Genomic DNA, 19,810 nt, shown 5'->3' on the forward strand with positions numbered 1-19,810 from the left:
TGCCTACAGTACAGACCCTAGGATGTGTAAGATGACATCTGGTTCTCATCATGTTGCCCCAGGGCTAACAACTGAGGCAAAAGGAAACTTAGGAGGTTATTTGTTGCTAAGTAAATAATAGTAATCTGTGATGCCCCCAGAAACCTTGTTTGCATGATACATTAAAAATTTAACATTATTCATATCCTCAATTTCACTAGGTTCTGCCAACTTGCTATTCAAGCTACCCAGGAGGCTGAGGTAGAAGGATCACTTAAACCCAGGAGTTCGTGGAGGCAGTGAGCTATGATGGCACCACTGCACTCCATTCTGGGCAACAGAGCAAGACCCTGTCTTGAAAAAATTAAAAAAAAAAAAGAATTATCATTTTGTTGACATGTTTACTACTTTGTATAGTTACAGAGGAAATAAAACTGACTCTACTATGGACTTAGAGAGAAGGTATTACTTCCCATGATGCTGGAATTTTAAATGTCTCCATTTAGTCACTTCACACAGCAGAGAGCTGGTGTTGGAGGCAGTTTTAAGAAAGTTGAACCACCCCTCAGTAGAGAACTGGATAAAGTAAACTACGGTTGGTCAGGCACAGTGGCTCATGCCTGTAATCCCAGCATGTTGGGAGGCTGAGGCAGGCGGATCACTTGAGCTCAGGAGTTGGAGACCAGCCTGGCCAACATGGTGAAACCCCATCTCTACTAAATATTTAAAAATTAGCTGGATGTGATGGCACAGGCCTGTCGTCCCAGCTACCCAGGAGGCTGAGGCTGGAGAATCGCTTGAACCTGGGAGGCAGACGTTGCAGTGAGCCAAGATTAGGTCACTGCACTCTAGCCTGGGCAACAGAGTGAGACTCCATCTCAAAAAAAAATAAATAAATAAATAAATTATGGTCTATTTACACAGTGGAAAATTTTATAGATGCTGAAATGAACGAGCTAGCTCTACATGTATGAACAGATATATTTAAAAAACATAACATTAAGTGCAGAAATCACATTGCAAAAGATATGTGCCATCTGATAACATTTAGGTAAAAGTTTAAAACAACAGTACAAAAGCATTCATGGAAATAATACACAACAACCTCAGGAGAATATTTACAACAGTTTCTTTTTGTAAAGGGAGATATCTGATGCAAATATGGAAGAAATGTAAACATCTATCTGTGGCAGGAATGGATATCACATTTCTGTACTTTTCTGAATTTATGAGCTATTTCATAATTTGATGAAAAATAAAAATGAGGCAGAGAACACAGTTTAGTGAAGCAAAGAGACTAGCAAGGGTCAGACTCTGTGAGGAAGAAAGGTTCTGCGTGTGTATGCGTGTGTGGGCTTCCTTGGTACCCCTCAAACTCCCTGTAGAGGAGTCTCCTTCTTTTGCCTGTGTTGAGACTGACCTTGGTGGTGAAAGTCTTTCTCCTTTCTCTTGTTAGAAGGCTCCATGTTACAGTTTCTTTTAACTTTTAGCTCTTCAAACTTGGAGATAAACAGGTCTAAAGTACTAAGTGTTTGAAATATGTTCTATTTTGTTTCAGAAAACCAAACAAAACAAAGCATGCTGACACCAAGTTCTGTCTTAGAGAATTATTACAGCATAGGCTAAGTGACAGAGAGGATACTTAGAAATAAAAGTTTTTCTGCTGAGTGGTACAGAATGAAGAATATAGATTTTGGAGTCAGAAGATCAGAGTTTGAGCCCTGCCACTGCCATTCACTGGCAGTTCTTGGGAAAATATTTTAATTTCTCTTTGCTTTTAATGCACTCCTCAAACTATAAAATGACTTTGATTCCTAACCTGTCTCTTTCAGTGACTTTTTGCCACAATCAATTAATGGATAATTGCACTACTTTGTAAACTGTGGAGAAATAATAAAAAGTAGTGATAATGGCCAAGCACAGTGGCTTGCACCTGTAATCCCAGCATATTGGGAGGCTGAGGTGGGCAGATTGCTTGAGCTCAGGAATTTTGAGACCAGCCTGGGCAACATAGTGAGACCCCATCTCAAAAAAAAGCAGTGATGATGATAATTCAAATCAAGCAAAATAAGAAGCTCCTTTTTATGTGTGTAAAATATAGTGTTTTTTGTCTCTCAGCTAGATAAATGTATGTAAATCTTTCTGAAATGAATGACTTCTTTAAGAAACACTAATGCTAGGTGCCTGAGAAACATATTTAGTTTTCTAAAATCAGGTAACATACTTACCTGTCTGTTTTTGTTAGTTTGTTGTCAAACCTAGGAGCGCTGGATTTAATGAGATGCAAACATAAAGAGATGTAATGCGACGTGGACATGAACATTTCAGAGGGGAATAATGACATGTGCATGCTTGATGAGGCCATAATGTGATGTACAAATAGAAAAGCATAGAAAAATGTGCATGGGTAATGGTGCAATGAGATGCATAAATAGATGAGTGTAATGATAAAGACATGGGGGGTGTAATGTGATTTACAAATGGGAGCATTAAATGGGAGGGTGGAAAGGGCAGGTTGTGGTAGATAAGAAGCAGAGAGAAAGAATGCAGTACTAAGCATGAATGGAGGAGCTAATATGTGCATGATGAGGATGTGATGAGATAGAAATGGGATGGCATAAGGCAGTTCACAGATGGAGGGGTGTAATGAGTTGTGTAGAAAGGAGGGAATAATGACAAGCATAAAAGGAGGGATTTAATACGACGAAGAAAGAAATAGGCATAAGAAGATGTGAAGACTGAAAGGAGGTGCAGAAAAAAGGGACATTAGTGAAGAGACGGGAAATAACAAGGTGGGCCAATGGAGCACTCTAATGAGGCTGAAATAAAAAGGTGCAATGAAGTGTGTCCATTCAGGGAATAATTAGACACACACACAGGATGATAATGAGGTACCCAGGCCCTGATCAGACATAGACCATGGCACTCAGTTCTTACTGAGGAGGCCAAAAATTGAAAAAAATTCAGGGCAGAACCACAAAGATATCTACACACAGAAAAGGGAAGACTAAACAGGTGATTTGGTGCCAGCCTTGCAGTTTATGAAATAATAGTTTTATAGCTGCACTTACTCTGTTCCAGGTGCTCTGCTAGGTGTTGAATTAAATGCATCATCTCATTTTACCTTCTTAACAACCCTATGAGGGAGGTGGATTCTTTCCTAGTTATAGATGAAGAAATCAAGCTGTAGTGAGGTTAATGACTTGCCCAGTTCCCAGAGCATGTCTGTGGTAGTGATGTCACTCAAACTAAGTCAGCTGGATCTCAGTTGCCTTTGCCTCTGTTTTGATGTTTTATCAGAAGAGGCTGTGGGACCTCCTGCCCCAGAACTACCAGGATAACTTGTCAAAGATCTAGAGTCACAGGATTACCCAGTGAATATTATTTGCAAAATCTGCAGAGGCCCTAAGAATTTGCATTTTTAACAAGCGCCCCAAGGACACTTGCATAAACTAGGTCTGAGAACTACTCCATGAAACTAGCACTAGAGTGTGTGGTGGTCTAAGGCTACTCTCAGTCCTAGTGAAAGACCATAAAGAAAGGAGATTGCATGCAGCATGAGGACTTTGGGTTGGCTACAAAGTAGACTGTCTGTTGGCAGAAGAAATTACCAGACCCAGAAATGAGGCATCAAACCAAAAATTATATTGAATGAAGGATAAAAATATAATAATACATGGAACATAATTAGATTCTAGGAAATAGTTTTTTTTACTGAATTAAAAAAAACATAGAAATTACTCCATATTCATGGAATCCCTAAGGGGGAAAGGGTAATATGTCCCTACAACCAACATTTTTCCAATCCACATGCAACTTTCAGGATTCTAAAATTAAAAGCTGATAGTGGCACTGACTGTTCTCTTTCTTGGTATGTCTAGTATTGAGATATCTAAATTGCTATGATTTTTAAGGTCGAAACCAGAATTTATATTTTGAAATAGTGTTAAGTGTGCATGACTACTCGCATTTTAGTGATACAGCCTCTGCTCAAAACCTTTTTAGATGTGTCTTTTGGAGTTGTTTGTGGTGTATATTTGTGAGCCATACAAGAAAATAATGCTCATTACTTTAGTGAAACTTAGCTTCTAACATGGAAATTTATTATTCAGTTTGAGCAGTCTCTTTTTATAGTACACATGGGCTCAGATAAATGTTGGGCTATTTGTGAAAATAAAAATCATTCTCAAAAAATGAAACATGGCCAAACGCAGTGGCTCGCACATACAATCCCAGACCTTTGGGCAGCTGAGGTGGGTGGATCACTTGAGTCCAGGAGTTTGAGACCAGCCTGGGCAACATGATGAAACCCTGCCTCTACAAAAAAATACAAAAATTAGCCAGGTGTGGTGTTGGGCGCCTGTAGTGCCAACTACTAGGGAGGCTGAGGTAAGAGGATTGATTGAGCCTGGGAGGTCGAGGCTGCAGTGAGACATCATTGTGCTACTGCAGTCCAACCTGGGCAATAGAGTGAGGCCCTGTCTCAAAAAAAAAAAAAAAAAAAAAGAAAGAAAGAAAGAAACCTTTATCATGACTGAGAATATAAAGTCTCAAAACATTTACTGAGTAGCTGCTCTGCCTCAGGCCATGATGCCATGATAGATGCTGGGACATGCAGACATTAATGGAAAGAGCCTGATCCCACAGCCTATGAGAGGCACAAAGACATCAAAATCAAACAATTTTGTTGTTGTTGATGTCTTTATTTACATTTGTGAAAGATTATGGGAATATGGCTGAGGGAGTCATTCATTTTGTTTGGAGGGGTCTTGCAGAGGAGGTGCAATAAAATAGTACCAGCTACTGTTTATTGAGCTCTTACTATATGGCAATCACTGCTCCATGGACTTTACATGTATTATGTCTTTTGAATCTCACGACATCCCTGCGAAGTGTTTACTGCTATTTTCTGCACTTTGCAGGTAAAGAAGGTAAGGCACACAGGAGTTAGATAAAAGCGCTGGTAAGTAGGTGGTAGAGGCAGGATTCAAACCCAGATCCTGAGTTTCTAGTTACCACACTTTCTTCTTGCACAAAAAGAGGTGCTATTTATTCTAATAGTATAGTGCCTGGTGTTTGTTGGCATTCACATAATATCCATGATAGCAGCAAAAGAAAAAAAAAGGATTTTACTCATGCACTGATTATTTAAGAAAAGAACCCAACCACTATTAGATTAGAACAGACATTGCAGAGGGATTGCATACCTCTGTTCCCCCAGGAATAGAGTTATTTCGTTAACTATTTTCTAAAGGTTTTTCCTTTTTTTAAAAAATTTCCTTGACTGATGCAGAACATCTGGCTAACTGTGAAGGAATGTTCACGACAGTAGTAAAATTGACATGCTTCATTATAGGACAGTCTGGCTTGTGAAATATGAAAGAAATATAATACATGTGATAAACCAGGATTTCAACTAAACTGAGAAAACATTTCTATGCCAATTTAAATTTGTTAAAAAAGCATATGTATAGTATAAGTACAGTGTATGTGGACAGTGGTTAGAGAGTTACGAATAGTGTATATTAATTAGCCAAGAGTAAAGGTAATAATTTTCTAAAGGAGATAAGAGGATTAAAAAGAAAGAGTAAAAAACAACAGACAAGTGTATTACAATGAAAATAAATGTTTCTTAATAGTAAATAGAACTGTCAGTTAAGTTCAATGTATTTACAAAATCATATGCAATCACTTAATATAATGGATTGTGTGTACAGAATTGTTTAAATGAGGGGCCCTCATGTATATCTGTTAAGGAAAAGAAATGAATCCAAATGAAGGTAGAAATAGTATTTAGGGAGGCAAAGTTTAGAATTTGGCTGAACTTCCAAACTCAGTGGTCCTAAGGCATCAATAAAAGTCATGCTTGTGAAAAGCCATGCCACTTCTCTCAAGAACTCTTCACATGTGAACCTCTCCTCTTATGTTAGCCATATTAATCCCGGATGAACTATCGTGGCTCTGGTGGAGGAGTGTGAGTCTACTGATACTACATAAACTGTGATAAAAATCCATCTTTTGCTTAAGCTGAAAATTCTCCCGGTGTTATCTAGCATTGCAAGCCTTATCCACGGAGCATGCTGTAAACATAGCCGTGGTCAGTTAACTTCATCTTGCCCTAGTGGCTATTGTCCTAACCTTGGCCAGTTGCTTGGTGGGTGTACTTGTTCTGTTTTTTGAAGGCGAAGAGTAGAGTGTGTATTGGGGCTATGAGGAGAAGCAGAGGGTTCTTATAAAGAGAAACTCAGCACAAATCCATCATTTTCTTCACTCAGGAAATAACCTTTTTTTGTTTTGTTTTGTTTTTTCCTGGGCCTGTTTCATCAATCTCAACCTCTCTATTGCATCATCCCGGCAATTTACAAACAGGCTCTGAAGGCTTCCATTTTCACTCATCTCTACAATCCCCCCACTTACCAACCCATTCAGCACCAAACTGCTTAAAACAGCTCTCTACATATGCTATGTTTCCTTCTTTACTCGTTCCTTCTTGTTCCTCCACCTACTTCTGTTCGTACCTTGCCCTTAAAACTCTATTAAAACTGCTCTTTCCATGTTGCCCAGTTGAATGGACACTTATCTTGATTTGGCTATCCAGTCCCATACAATTCCTTTCTTTCTCCTTCTTGGACACTTTCTTGATATCTGTGATGCCCTCTACACTTTCTGAGGTTCTTTTATTTCTTGGCTGCCGTGTGGATGCAATCCTGAACTGGGACCATTTCCTCTCTAAACTCTCTTCCTAGATTGCTTCAGTCTTCCCATGGTTTTCATCATCTGTATGCTGATGATGTCCTAATCTATATTCCTGGCCTAAGTCACTTCATATTTGGATATCCAACTGTCTAAAAGACAATTCCACTGGGACATCTGGCAGGTGTTTGAAACTTCAGATTCGGATGTCTGAAAGTCTTGTGTGCCAGCTTCATTCACTTGCCCCTCCCCAGAGCTCATTTTCTCCCAGTTTTATCCACCTTAATAAATGATACCACCATGCCAGAAACTTGACATCAGCTTTGATTCCTCATTTCCCCTCACACTTACATGCCATTCATTAGTTTGTTATGTCACTTTTACCTCCAACCGTTATATTGAATATGTCATTTATTTCCATCCCTACCAGGATCATCCAAGTTTAAGCTACTCTCTTCTCTTACCTGGATTAGCAATAGTCTCTTTTGTGATCTCCTTAATTTTACTTTTGTCCCTTTCCAATCTAGTCCCCACACAGCAGACTGAGCAATCTTTTAAAAACAACCTGGTTGCAATGGACTGAAGGCTTATGTCCCCCTACCATCACCAAATTCATACACCGAAATCCTATCCCCCAAGGTGATACCATTGGGAGGGGAGGCCTTTGGGAGGTATTAAGTCTTGGGGATGGAGTCCTCATAAACGGGATTAGTGCCTTATTAAAGAAGCCCAGGAGAGATCACTTGTCCCTTCAACCACGTGAGGACACAGCATTTGGGTGACATCTGTAAGCCAGAAAGTGGGCCCGCACTAGACACTGAATCTGCCTTGATCTCGGGCTTCCCAGCCTCCAGAACTGTAAGAAACATTTTTGTTGTTTATAAGCACCCAGTTAATAGTATTTTGTTATAGCAGCCCAAATGGACAAAGAAACTGAACTAAGGACTGCTGCTCAAAACTCCTCCGTGGCTTTCCATAGACCACAAAAAAATCTAAGCTTCTTGCCATGGTCTAAAAGGCCAGGACAGAATTCCCCAGATTAACTCTCCAGTCTCCACTCTCCCCTTTGTTCACTGGCTCCACCAATGCTGTGAAAGGGGAGTGTGCTCACTTTTGGGTAGGTGTGACCATCCACTGTGATACAGGAGGAAGAAAATATAACTTTCATTTCTATTTATTTTTCATCTCGTCCTTTAAAATTTCTATTTTTCAATGTTTTATAGTGAAATAACAAGTATGTAAAATAATGTATGTATATAGTTTAAAGGTAAATAAATGTGCACATATTGAAGGTACTTGCTCAAAAAAATTTTTTGATGAGATGTGTGACTTACATTTGAAGAGAATGCTCTAATACACCAAAGCTTTTCCTTTCTCTTATTCTTCCTTTTTTGTTTTTGTTTTTTTGTTTCAAGGCCTTTGTGCAAATTGTTCTCATTGCCAGGAAAACTTGTCTGACATCTGCTCAGAGAAGGCTTCCTTGACCATCCAACAAATGCTCATTTTCTTTAAGCATTATCTTTTACAGTATCTATCAGTGTGGAATTGTGTATTTGTTTCTTAGTGTATTGCTTGTTTCCATCAGGGTAGGGATCATGATTGTTTGTTTAGTCTCTGCACAGTGGTTGGTATAGAGCAGGCATTTGCAAAAAATATTTTTGACTGAATACATGAACTTAGAGTCATATTTACCATGATTTTGCTGTGATTATTTTGTCTCCTCCGTGTTATTTCTCATGCCATTCTTTCTATATGGAACCATTTTTCTCTTTAAAGATAAAAAAGCCTCCGAACTCTGTATTTCAATTTCTACCACTTTCCAGCCAGCTCCCTGCCTGAGCAAAGAGTGTCCCAGACATTTGCCTCTGCATCCACATTCCACCTTCAATCTGCCCTCCAGGTCCTTCCATGATTTGCAGTCTTCATTTAGTTTTCCCCTTAAGCACTGGATTAGCCCCTTGGTCTGGCTTCTTAGGGTAGACTCTCATTCACATTTTCTGTTTATCTTTTTACCTCACCATTGCCACTTAGAAACTGCCTGTCAGATTTTCCTGGTTCTGAGCTCATAGCCTGAAAGCCTAGAATCCTCCGCCCCCACTGGGGTTCTGAAATTCCAAACCCCTTTCCCCTCTAGCTTGCCCTGAAAGGAAGGTTCTCTTGAACATATATTCATACGGCTCTTCTGGAGACTGACCTTCCACAGCACTTGTCATTTCTATCACACATGTAGACTTAAATTTCTCATCTTATATTTTTTATATATATATATATACACACATACTGTTACATCTTATATATAATAGGCCTACCTTTTATTTACTTACTTATGCATTTATATACTCAAGCACATTAACACTTTAACCCAAAACACTAGATCTAAGCCTGTGGGAGCATCAGAAAGTCTCCTTGGGTTCCACCCAGAATTAGTGTTTCAGTTTTATTTATGCCTTGACACTCCTGTCAGTTATCCTGGGAACTATCAAGTGTGTTTGTAGCAATGTGGACTGAAAACAAATCACCAAATGTTAGCCAGATGGGGCACATTTTACTTCAGCAGAAAATGTAGTTTATTTTATTTTATTTTTTCTGTAAGGGACATAGTTTTGAGATCCCATTTCTGCAGCATACAACATTTCCCTATGCTTTGGTAACTGGAACACGTGTTAATAAAGGCCTTTTCTTTCTGAAATTCTGGCCCTTTAGTAATCCTTCAATCAACTTTGTCAACTCTCTGGTCCTCTGATAATCAGAGTGCCATTCCCTCTGAAGTGTTGGGTAGCACATGCACTGAAACGAAATTATTAATAGTAATCTCTACTTGCTCCATGGTGGTCTTTCTCATTTCTTCAATAAATCAACTGCTTCTCCACCATCTTTCTAAAATCCTTATTTTATAATGGAAATTAATTATCTTAGAATCTATTTTTCTTCAAGTAAACTGCTCATTTACATAAGGCAATATAACTTAAAGTAATATTTTTTCCTTGATTATAAAAGAAATATATAGAGAAAAGAAAATGCTAATCCCATCAACTAGAGCTATATCATTAACATTTTATTATATTTCCTTTTGGTTGATTTAATGGGCAATCCTCCAAATAATATTCTTTATAAAAGTAATTTTGTACCCTGAAATATGGTATTTACTGTAAGTGTGTTTCATATCATTAAACATGTCTCATAAACATGACTTTTCAGGATTGGTTAATATTTTTTGTTCTCTCAGCAGAGAGAGCCAGGAAATAGTTGTCTCTCACTGTGTATTGTTATATCTATCTATCTATCTATCTATCTATCTATCTTCCTATCTCTCTATTTCATCTATCTATCTGTCTTTTTTTTTTTTTTTTTTTTTTTTTTGAGACGGAGTCTCGCTCTGTCGCCCAGGCTGGAGTGCAGTGGCGGGATCTCGGCTCACTGCAAGCTCCGCCTCCCGGGTTCACGCCATTCTCCTGCCTCAGCCTCCCAAGTAGCTGGGACTACAGGCGCCCGCCACTACGCCCGGCTAATTTTTTGTATTTTTAGTAGAGACGGGGTTTCACCGTTTTTAGCCGGGATGGTCTCGATCTCCTGACCTCGTGATCCGCCCGCCTCGGCCTCCCAAAGTGCTGGGATTACAGGCGTGAGCCACCGCGCCCGGCCTCTATCTGTCTTAAAAATATTCTTTTACCTGGATTCAGGACTAGACCTACAAAAAATATTCTTTTATATGGTTGTATAATAATTTCATTCTCCTATCTTTAGACATTTAGGCTATTTATAAATCCCTCTGCAATACTTTTTGTGTTTGTTTATCTTAAGTTTTGTACATGTTTCAGATTACTTCTTTAGAACAGATTCTTAGAAGTGGAATCACTGTGTGAAAGGATATGAATATTTTTAAGACTCTTGAACTGCATTGCTAAATTGCTTTTTAGAAATGTTGAAATAATTTACACTTCAACTTAGAAACGTGTGAGTGCCTTAACTCTTGCTCAAGCCAGCACTGATTATTGTATTTTAAAAAATGTGTTAAAAAGGGTAACTTATTTTAACTTTGACTACTTTGCCTACTAATAAGGCTGAATATCTTTTACGGACTCAGTCTCCTAAGTATTTGCTCATGTTCTTCGTTCATTGATTATTGATTTTCATGAACTTATAGTAGTAGCTTAAGGATATTAAACTTTGTTTTTCATGCTTGTTACAAATATTTTCATTTAAAATTATTGTGCATAAAAGGTTTTGCTCTTTACAGACTTTATATTTTATGTAGTCAAACCTACCAATTCTTTACTCTTTGACATTAGTTACAGGTTAAATTAAATTTAAAAAACAAAGACAGAAAAGCATCTACAAAAGACACTTTAACAAATACCCATGTACCTGCCAGCCAGACTTAACAAATGCTAATATTTTGCTTCTGGTTATTTAACAATAAAATTACAGATGAAATTGAGATCTCCTTAATTCCCTTCCCCGGTAACATTTTCCTCCTTCCTTTCCTCACTTTCTCCTTACCCAAAGGCAACCTCATCATGAATTTTGTATAATTCTAAATATAGTGTATTTTTATCATAAGTATATGTATGTATAAATAATGCATAACACTGCTTGGTGTGTTTTAAAAATTTATACAATAACATTTATGCTATCATAGTATTCATATCATAGTTTTGCAACTTGCTTATTAAAACTCAATATCATATTTTCAAGATTTATCCCATGCTATTACATATAGGTCTAATTAATTCACTTTACCTGCCTGTATAACATGACTATACCACAACGTTTTTTTTCCACATTCCTCTATCAAGGGACATTTGGGTTGCTCCTGATTTTTTGCTGCAAAAAATGCTTCAGTTAGTATTTCTGTACATGTTTTCTGATGCACATATGTAAGAGTTCATCTAGAAATAGAACTGCAGAAAAATAGGGCACATGAAATTATAATATAACCACTGATTATATTATAAAGAGCAGATTGCTCTTTAAGAAGTCTGAAAATGAAAATTTGTGGGTTTTGGTTACATGGATGAATGAAGTCTGAGATTTTAGTGCACCCTTCATCTAAATAATGTACACTGTACCCAATATGTAGTTTTTTAGCTTCCAAGTCTCCAATATCCATTATACCACTCTGTACGCCTTTACATACTCATAGCTTAGCTCCCACTTACAAGTGAGAAAATACAGTATTTGGTTTTTTATTTCTGACTTACTTCACTTAGAATAATGGCCTCCTGCTCCAGCCAAGTTGCTGCAAAAGACATTATTTTGTTCTTTTTAATAGCTGAGTAGTATTAGCACATTTTATATACTGTAATACAAAAACCTTCTTGTATTTAAGCATTTTTATGATCAGCTTTAAATGGAATTAAGACTTCAGAAATAAAGTTACTCACCCATCTTAACAGTAATCTAGCTGTCATTTTTGAGTCTAATTAATGACTATATATATATATATGTTCTTAAGTGTTCTTTTTTCTAAACAGGTATACCTATTTTCCTTCCATCAAGAGTGTGTGAACATTCCCACTTTTTCACATCTTTGCCAAGACTTGTATTGTCACATTTTTCTTATCCTGGAGCTATAAAGATAACTTTCGATATTTTCTTCTAATTGTTATAAGATTTCATTGATTACATTTAAGCCTTTAATTTATGTGGAGTTAATTGATCTATATGGTGTCTGTGAAGGATCTACTTTTATCTTTTCAGCTTGGAAAAGTTACATGTCCTTACATTATTTAAAACATATTTTACTTTCTCTTCGCTGATTTGTAATCCCCCTTCTATCACCTACCAAGCTTTCATATATGATTGGGACTGTTTCTGGGCTCTTTATTATTTACCATTAATTTATCCCTGTGGAAATAATCACATGAGTTTTCTCTTTCTGTACCATAAAAATTTCCTCCCCCACAGTCTTTCTTAGGATTTTGTTTATTCTAAATTTAGGACCAGTTTGTCAAACTCCATGAGAAAAGTCTGTTGTCATTAGGATTGGTTATGAAATTGTAATTACATTTTAATTTGGGAGAAAATTTTCATTTATATGATAATGGTTGTTCTTGACCATGAAAAGATCATATCTTTTCATTAATTCAGGTCTTTAAAATTTTTTTCATTAATATTAAAAAATTTTTTATCATTAAAGAGTTTCACAGCTTTTCTTATATTTATTCCTAGGTCCTTTATAGTCTTTACTGCTATTATAGATGGCATGCTTTTCTACATTTTCTATTTAGTTATTACTCACGTATAGATTTGTTATTGATTTTATATGTTGATCTTATATCAAATAACTTTATGGATCTTTTATATAAGTTCTAAAGGTTAGATTCTTTTGAACTTTCCACACAAATAATCTTATTGTCTATAAATAATTTCTCTTTCCCTCATCCTCCCTCTCATCTCTATCTCTTTCTCTTTCTGGTTTATTCTTTTAATCCTTATACTTAACTGCTTTTGTCTCCCTGCATTGGGTAGGATCACTGTAAAATGCTAAATTTTGAAGGTGATGACAGGTATCCTTGTTTAATTTCTAATTATAGCAAACACCTTTACATTTTTTCTGTATGTACAAAATTAGCTCTAGGGTTTTGATATCATTCTCTTTTATGTAGGCTTTTTAAAAAGGATTCGTTTCATACGTAGCTAAACAATTGTATATATACATTAACTGATTATATGTATATATTTGAGTTGGTTTCTGGACTAGTCTGTTCCATTTATCTGCATTAATTCTTTCCATAAAAGTGGAGTAATTTAATAATTGTAGGTTTTATAGTGTGCTTAAATGTTTTGGAATGTCCTTTTTTTTGCCCCTCTCAAAAATTTTCAAACTAGTCTCACCTATTTATCCTTCTGGCTGTATTTTACCATCACTTCATAAGAGATAAAAAATAATTCTCTTAGAATTTAAATTGGAACTCAGTTAAAGTGCTAATTAACTTAGGAAGTATTAACATTTTTGTCATATTTGCTATTTCCAATCAGGAACGTGGTAATATCACTGTTCATTCAAGTGTATTTCTCTCCATTGCTCTGTGACTTTGAGAAAATTAATCTTTCTTCTACTTAGTTTACTCATTTGTAAGATGATAATAATAATGCTGTCTATCTCATAGTGTTGTCATTGGGATTAAGTGAACTAATTGATGTTAAATGAACAGGACAATTAGTGGCACATTCTAAATGACCAGTAAAGTTAATTATTATTATTAATTCTAATAGTGTTCCTTGTATTTTCATATTAACTAAAAGTAATGTTGAATTTATCTTCTTATTTCAAATAGTATACTCCTTATTTCTGTCTTGTGTTCTATTTGTTGTTGTTGTTATTATTATTATTATTATTAATGCCTAGTATGAGCCAGGCATGCTCTTTAGATATCCTGGATTCTGTAACAAACAAGGAGACAAGATCCCTGCTCTCATGGAGCTTATATTCTCATGTTGGCTCATGCTTTCAAGCAATACTAAATTATAAAGATTATAGTGGATATTCTGGTTTTATTTCAGTATTTTAATAAAAAATCTTCAGTTGTTCACCACTAGGCATAGTTTTTCTTTTGTTATCAGACAAATATTTATCATGCTAAGAACACATCTTTCCATTTCTAGTTAGTAATAGTGCTCACTCACTTTGTTCAGTGAACACATATCACTGAGTGTCAACAGTAAGCCAGGCGATGCTCTAGGTGCTGGGTGTACAATGACAAGCATATGTTCTCATGGAAACCCAGTCTAATTAGTGACACAGACATTAATAAAATTTTTATACAAAATGTGTGTTAGTAAAGTGATTGTTGGATTTTATCAAATGTCATTTAAGTGATAATTTTTAAAAATTTGAACTATTGAATTCATGCATTTTACTAAGTTCACTAATATTAAACTTTTATTTTTATATATTAAAAATATTTTAGCATTATATTACATAAGCATTTCCACATTTTGATGCCTGTGTGAGATTGATATATAGTTTGCAAAAGATAATTGATTGAATTTATTTATTTATTATTTTATTTTATTTATTTATTTTTGAGACAGAGTCTCACTCTGTTTCCCAGGCTGGAGTGCAGTGGCGGGATCTTGGCTCACTGCAATCTCCACCTCCTGGGTTCCAGCAATTCTTCTGCCTCAGCCTCCCGAGTAGTTGGGATTACAGGAAGGCACCACCATGCCTGGCTAATATTTGTATTTTTAGTAGAGACGGGGTTTCCCCATGTTGACTAGACTGGTCTTGAACTCCTGACCTCAGGTGATCCGCCTGCCTCAGCCTCCCAAAGTGCTAGGATTACAGGCATGACTGTACCTGGCTGAATTTACTGCACCTGGCTGAATTTGATTGAATTTTATAATGAAAATTCATGATTGAAATTTGGAAAACGTTTCTGGTAATGTTGGTCTGATCAAAGTAGAAAAGTACAATAACTTGAGAGATTATCAATCAGGTTCATCTTCCTACCTCCACTCTCAACCTCCCTTAATGTATGTAAGACGGGTTTGAATTTGTGTTATTTGAGGTGGGGTGCTGGCTAGGGATTAGAATATTAGCTAACATTTATTTAGAGATCACAATGTGTGGCCACTGTTCTGAGAGCTCTGTATTAACTCATTCAAGTCTCAAAACAGTGCTATGAGGTAGGTACTAATATTATCTCCACTGTACAAGTAAAGAAACTGGGGCACAGAGACAAAGGACACACAGCTGGTAAGGAGCACAGCAGATCTTAAAGCCAGGTGATTCAGAGCCAACATGCTTAACTACTCTGATAGGTGTATGAATCAAGAAAGGCAGGTTACGCTGCTATAACTAACACCAAAATTTCAGTTTCTAACAAAACAACAGATGTTTCTTTCTCATACAAAACGTGTGGTGGGACTGGGTGGCTCTCTAGAGCAGAAGCCCTCCATGTGGTGGCTCAGAATTCCAGGCTGTTTTCATCTTCTGGCAACTCAATTTCAACTTTTGCTCCTACAATCATCATCATCATGGTAGAGGAAAAGAGAAATTGCAGAGAATAGTACACTGGCTTTTAAAAGATTCCTCTTGGAGTGACACATATCCCCTCCCATATTTCATTGGCTGAAGCAAGTCACATGGCCAGCCTTGCTTCAGTAGACAGGGAAATGTGATCCTCTCCTGGGCCCAGAGGAGGGAAGTACCGGATTCATTTGTGACAACCCTGATATCGCAAGGGTATGTGTATCAGTTCTAGTTCCGCCACTGACCTTCAACAAGTTCCTTTGCTTCCGATTTTAACATCCAGAAAATGATAGAATTTTTAAACTTCTTCAATTGATATGTATTATTTAGAGAGCCTAGTGTGTGCCAAGCACCTTGTAGCTCTGGCAACACAATGGTCAATACAGCAAAATCCCTGCCCTCAAGCAGTTTGCAATTTAATAGATATCTCACTGATAATTTTTAGTTCTAAAATTCCAAGATTCTATTAAAAAGCAACCACAATAACAAACTTCTCTTCATATTGTCCAGAATGTTATATTCTAGATACTCAGGCATTAGGAGTTTCTTCCTTCTTTCTTGTGTGCATTTCGCTGCAGTGAAACTCCGTCACTGCAGCCGATACACACATGGCCATCTCTTTCAAATCACTAATGTATGTCTATATGGCACCTATTATGAAAATAAAGCAGACTTTGCACCATTCTTACAGCTATTTTGAATTTAGTACAGAGAACATTTCAAAAAAATCGGAAAAAATCTACTTGAGAAATACTTGGGCAGATAAATTTGCCACATAATGTACATTGCAGATATCAAAGTTTTTTCTATTACTCATGAACAAACCAAATTATAAAACTTTAAAAAATTTTATATTTTGTTTACAGTTAATTTTCCCTTAGAGAAATGTTTATTAGCATGAAACACAAGAAATGTGAATAAGTATACTTGTGAGTATGCACAAAACTAGTTTGCCAAGTATTTTTTTTTAATCTCTTAGGATTTGAAGCAGCCTGCCAGGTTTTAATTTACTGGTTGCCTCTAGTTAAAATACAGTTAGCAATAAAAAATTTATGAGAACTTGAGGCATTGTCTTCAAATATGATGCAACAGTTGAAAATTTGAATGAAATGTACAAAGAATTCCATTTTACTCTACACTGAGGCAATTGTGGCATTTCCTTTATTTTTAATACTGCATGTTGAATTCCTAAACACAAGCCAAAAAGTAGTGATGCAATCGTTTCATATGTCTTTAGTGTCTTACAGAGCATTACAAATAAACTTCTGATAAATCATGCTCATTTTTCATATTATTAGAATTCTTCATCATTTAAAAATATTATGTTAGTTTCACAAGAGACCAGTTCTGGAGTACTTAATTTGCTACTCATTTGTATTATGAATTTGTTTAATATTGGCATGCTTGTCTCCCTTTTCAACAGTAAAACAAGGACAGACACCATGATCATTTATTCTCAGAACATCTGGTTTGCTCAGTAAGCATCCAATACTTATTACTGGGCTATCTAAAAGGCAAAATAAGAATAATCAGAATATTCGAGTTTGGGAAGGGCTAAAAGAGAGAAGCTGATAATATTTACTAGAAGAGATTAATAACCATTCTTTTCTCTCAATGTACATATTTCCCTTGAGCAATCCAGTCTTCTGCCATGACAGTAAGTGCTAGCTTGTGACTCCCAAATCCATATCTCCAGTCATGGCTTTCTTCCTGAAGCCCACATTGGTATTTAACCACCACCACCACCACCTAGTTAGCCATATAAACAGCTTGGATTTGAAATATGTAAACCAGAATGCTTTATCTTCTTCTGCTCCATCAGATTATTTTGTGATTTCTCATTTTCAGAGTGATATTATCATCCAGTTAGCCAAACAATGCACCTGGAGTCATCCTGGATTCTTCTATTTTTCTTATCAGGCTGTCAGTCCTGTTGATTTGACTTTCTTAATAGCTCTCCAATCTTCCTATAACTTCTAACTTTAGTTCAAGCCTTCTTTCTTAGTCACTGTGCTTCTATAACAAATACCTGAGACTGGGTAATTTATAAATAATGGAAACTTATTTTTTATAGTTCTGGAGCTAGGAAGACCAAGATCAAGGAGTAGTGGAACTACAGGCATGTGCTACTATGCCTGGCTAATTAAAAAAAAACATTTTTTTTTTTTTTTTTTTTTTGAGATGGAGTCTCGCTCTGTCGCCCAGGCTGGAGTGCAGTGGCGCGATCTCGGCTCACTGCAAGCTCCGCCTCCCGGGTTCACGCCATTCTCCTGCCTCAGCCTCCCGAGTAGCTGGGACTACAGGCGCCCGCTACCACGCCCGGCTAATTTTTTGTATTTTTAGTAGAGACGGGGTTTCACCGTGTTAGCCAGGATGCTCTCGATCTCCTGACCTCGTGATCCGCCCGCCTCGGCCTCCCAAAGTGCTGGGATTACAGGCATGAGCCACCGTGCCCGGCCAACATTTTTTTTTTAAGATGGAGTCTTGCCATGATGTTCAGGCTAATCTGGAACTACTGGCCTCATATTATCCTCCTGCCTCAACCTCCTGAGTAGCTGGGATTACAGATAAAAGTCACCACACCCAGCTGTAAAATCTTTTCTATTTCATACTATGCATGCAGTTATTGTGTGGTTCTAGGAAACTGTATTGTGTCAGTATACAGACCTCAAAGGGCAATGTCCTTGTTTACTGGTACCACTCTATTCTGAATCTACTATACCACGTGAAAATAATTTCTTACAAGTGTTTTATGATAATAATAAAAGAAAGGTAAACGAAAGAAGGATGAAATTTAATTGCTAAAAAAAAGGGAAACTGTTTCAAGACAATCTTAAATCTTGGCCTGTAACATGGCCAAGGAAAGGAATATTTACCTTCTGCTGTGGAAACGTGGACTCCATCATGGCAGTTTCAAAGCTGTGAGCACCCCCTGCCTGGGTCTTCTCCCACAGAGCTCTGAGGAATTGCACAGAATGACTCTGAATGGACAGGGGTTCAGGAAACAGGCTCTGAAAGGGCATTAAAGACAGAAACAGAATATACTATGTCTTGTCCCAATAGTATTGTTTGATTGATTTCAAGGCACTGTTTAGGCTTGGTTTGAACTTTAACATGATTTAATTTTAAATGAAACAAGAAAAAGATCTGTCTTAAAGATCGAACATATGGGGTTGGGCATGATGAATGAGCCTGTATTCCCAGCACTTTGGGATACTGAGGCGGGAGGATCGCTTGAGACCAGGAATTTGAGACCAGCCTGGCCAATATAACAAGACCTCCACCTCTCTTAAAAAAATTAAACGAGGCCGAGCATGGTGGCTCATGTCTGTAATCCCAGCACTTTGGGAGGCTGAGGTGGGTGGATCACGAGGTCAGGAGATCGAGGCCATCCTGGCTAACATAGTGAAACCCCGTCTCTACTAAAAATAAAAAAAAATTAGCCGGGCGTGGTGGCGGGAGCCTGTAGTCCCAGCTACTCGGGAGGCTGAGGCAGGAGAATTGCTTGAAGCCGGGAGGCAGAAGTTGCAGTGAGCCGAGATCATGCCACTGCACTCCAGCCTGGGTGACAGAGGGAGGATCCGTCAAAAAAAAAAAAAAAAAAAAAAAAAAAAAAAAATTAAACGAAAAAGATCAAACATATGATATATTTCAGGATTTTCATTTTTTAACAGAAATTTAAAATTATTTCATAGTATTTTCAAGGCAGTTGATAATGATCTCCATAAATATGCCTAACCTTTGTAATATAGTGTTTATCTCAGTGATTTCCCAAGGATGTTCTTTAACTGGAACATGGTTAATATAAATATTCATATTTATTTTCTCAAAGATCTGGGAATTAAAGAATAAAATTCAAATAGAGTACAAAAATCAAGTCTATTTATACAGAGTAGATCATTAAGAATAGAAATTAAATAAGTTCATTATGAAATTAATCAAATATGAACAGTATGAGTGGGTGTGTGGGGGACACAAAAACAGTTTTAATTCTAAAATGTATAATAGATGAATATTCTTAAAACTTTAAGATAATTTCTCTAAATGTTGATCAGTAAGAATGTGAACATAAAGAAAATCACATTTACATATATTTCATTCAAGCCAATGAAAATAAACTTTTCAAAGGAAGATTTTAAGTTGTGTTTGTATATTTACTAA

The 19,810-nt window shown here is 36.8% G+C and overlaps 1 protein-coding gene and 1 long non-coding RNA gene across 16 annotated transcripts in view; one reads left to right on the forward strand and one right to left on the reverse strand.

Annotated features, from left to right (window-relative positions):
• The window catches only part of LOC101928236 (uncharacterized), a 220,247-nt gene that overhangs the window by 121,396 nt on the left and 79,041 nt on the right, over positions 1–19,810 (forward strand). The window lies entirely within an intron of this gene.
• The window catches only part of VEPH1 (ventricular zone expressed PH domain containing 1), a 243,864-nt gene that overhangs the window by 35,354 nt on the left and 188,700 nt on the right, over positions 1–19,810 (reverse strand). For 12 of the 15 annotated variants that reach the window (XM_047448927.1, XM_024453748.2, XM_024453747.2 and 9 more), the window contains one exon: positions 18,526–18,660. The exons of the other annotated variants lie outside the window; for them this stretch is intronic. In XM_047448927.1, the coding sequence (XP_047304883.1) occupies positions 18,526–18,660 (135 nt within the window). The remainder of the gene's footprint in view (positions 1–18,525; positions 18,661–19,810) is intronic. 15 annotated transcript variants of the gene reach the window in all.

This window comes from Homo sapiens, chromosome 3, assembly GCF_000001405.40.
Source record: "Homo sapiens chromosome 3, GRCh38.p14 Primary Assembly".
Lineage (NCBI taxonomy): Eukaryota > Metazoa > Chordata > Mammalia > Primates > Hominidae > Homo > Homo sapiens.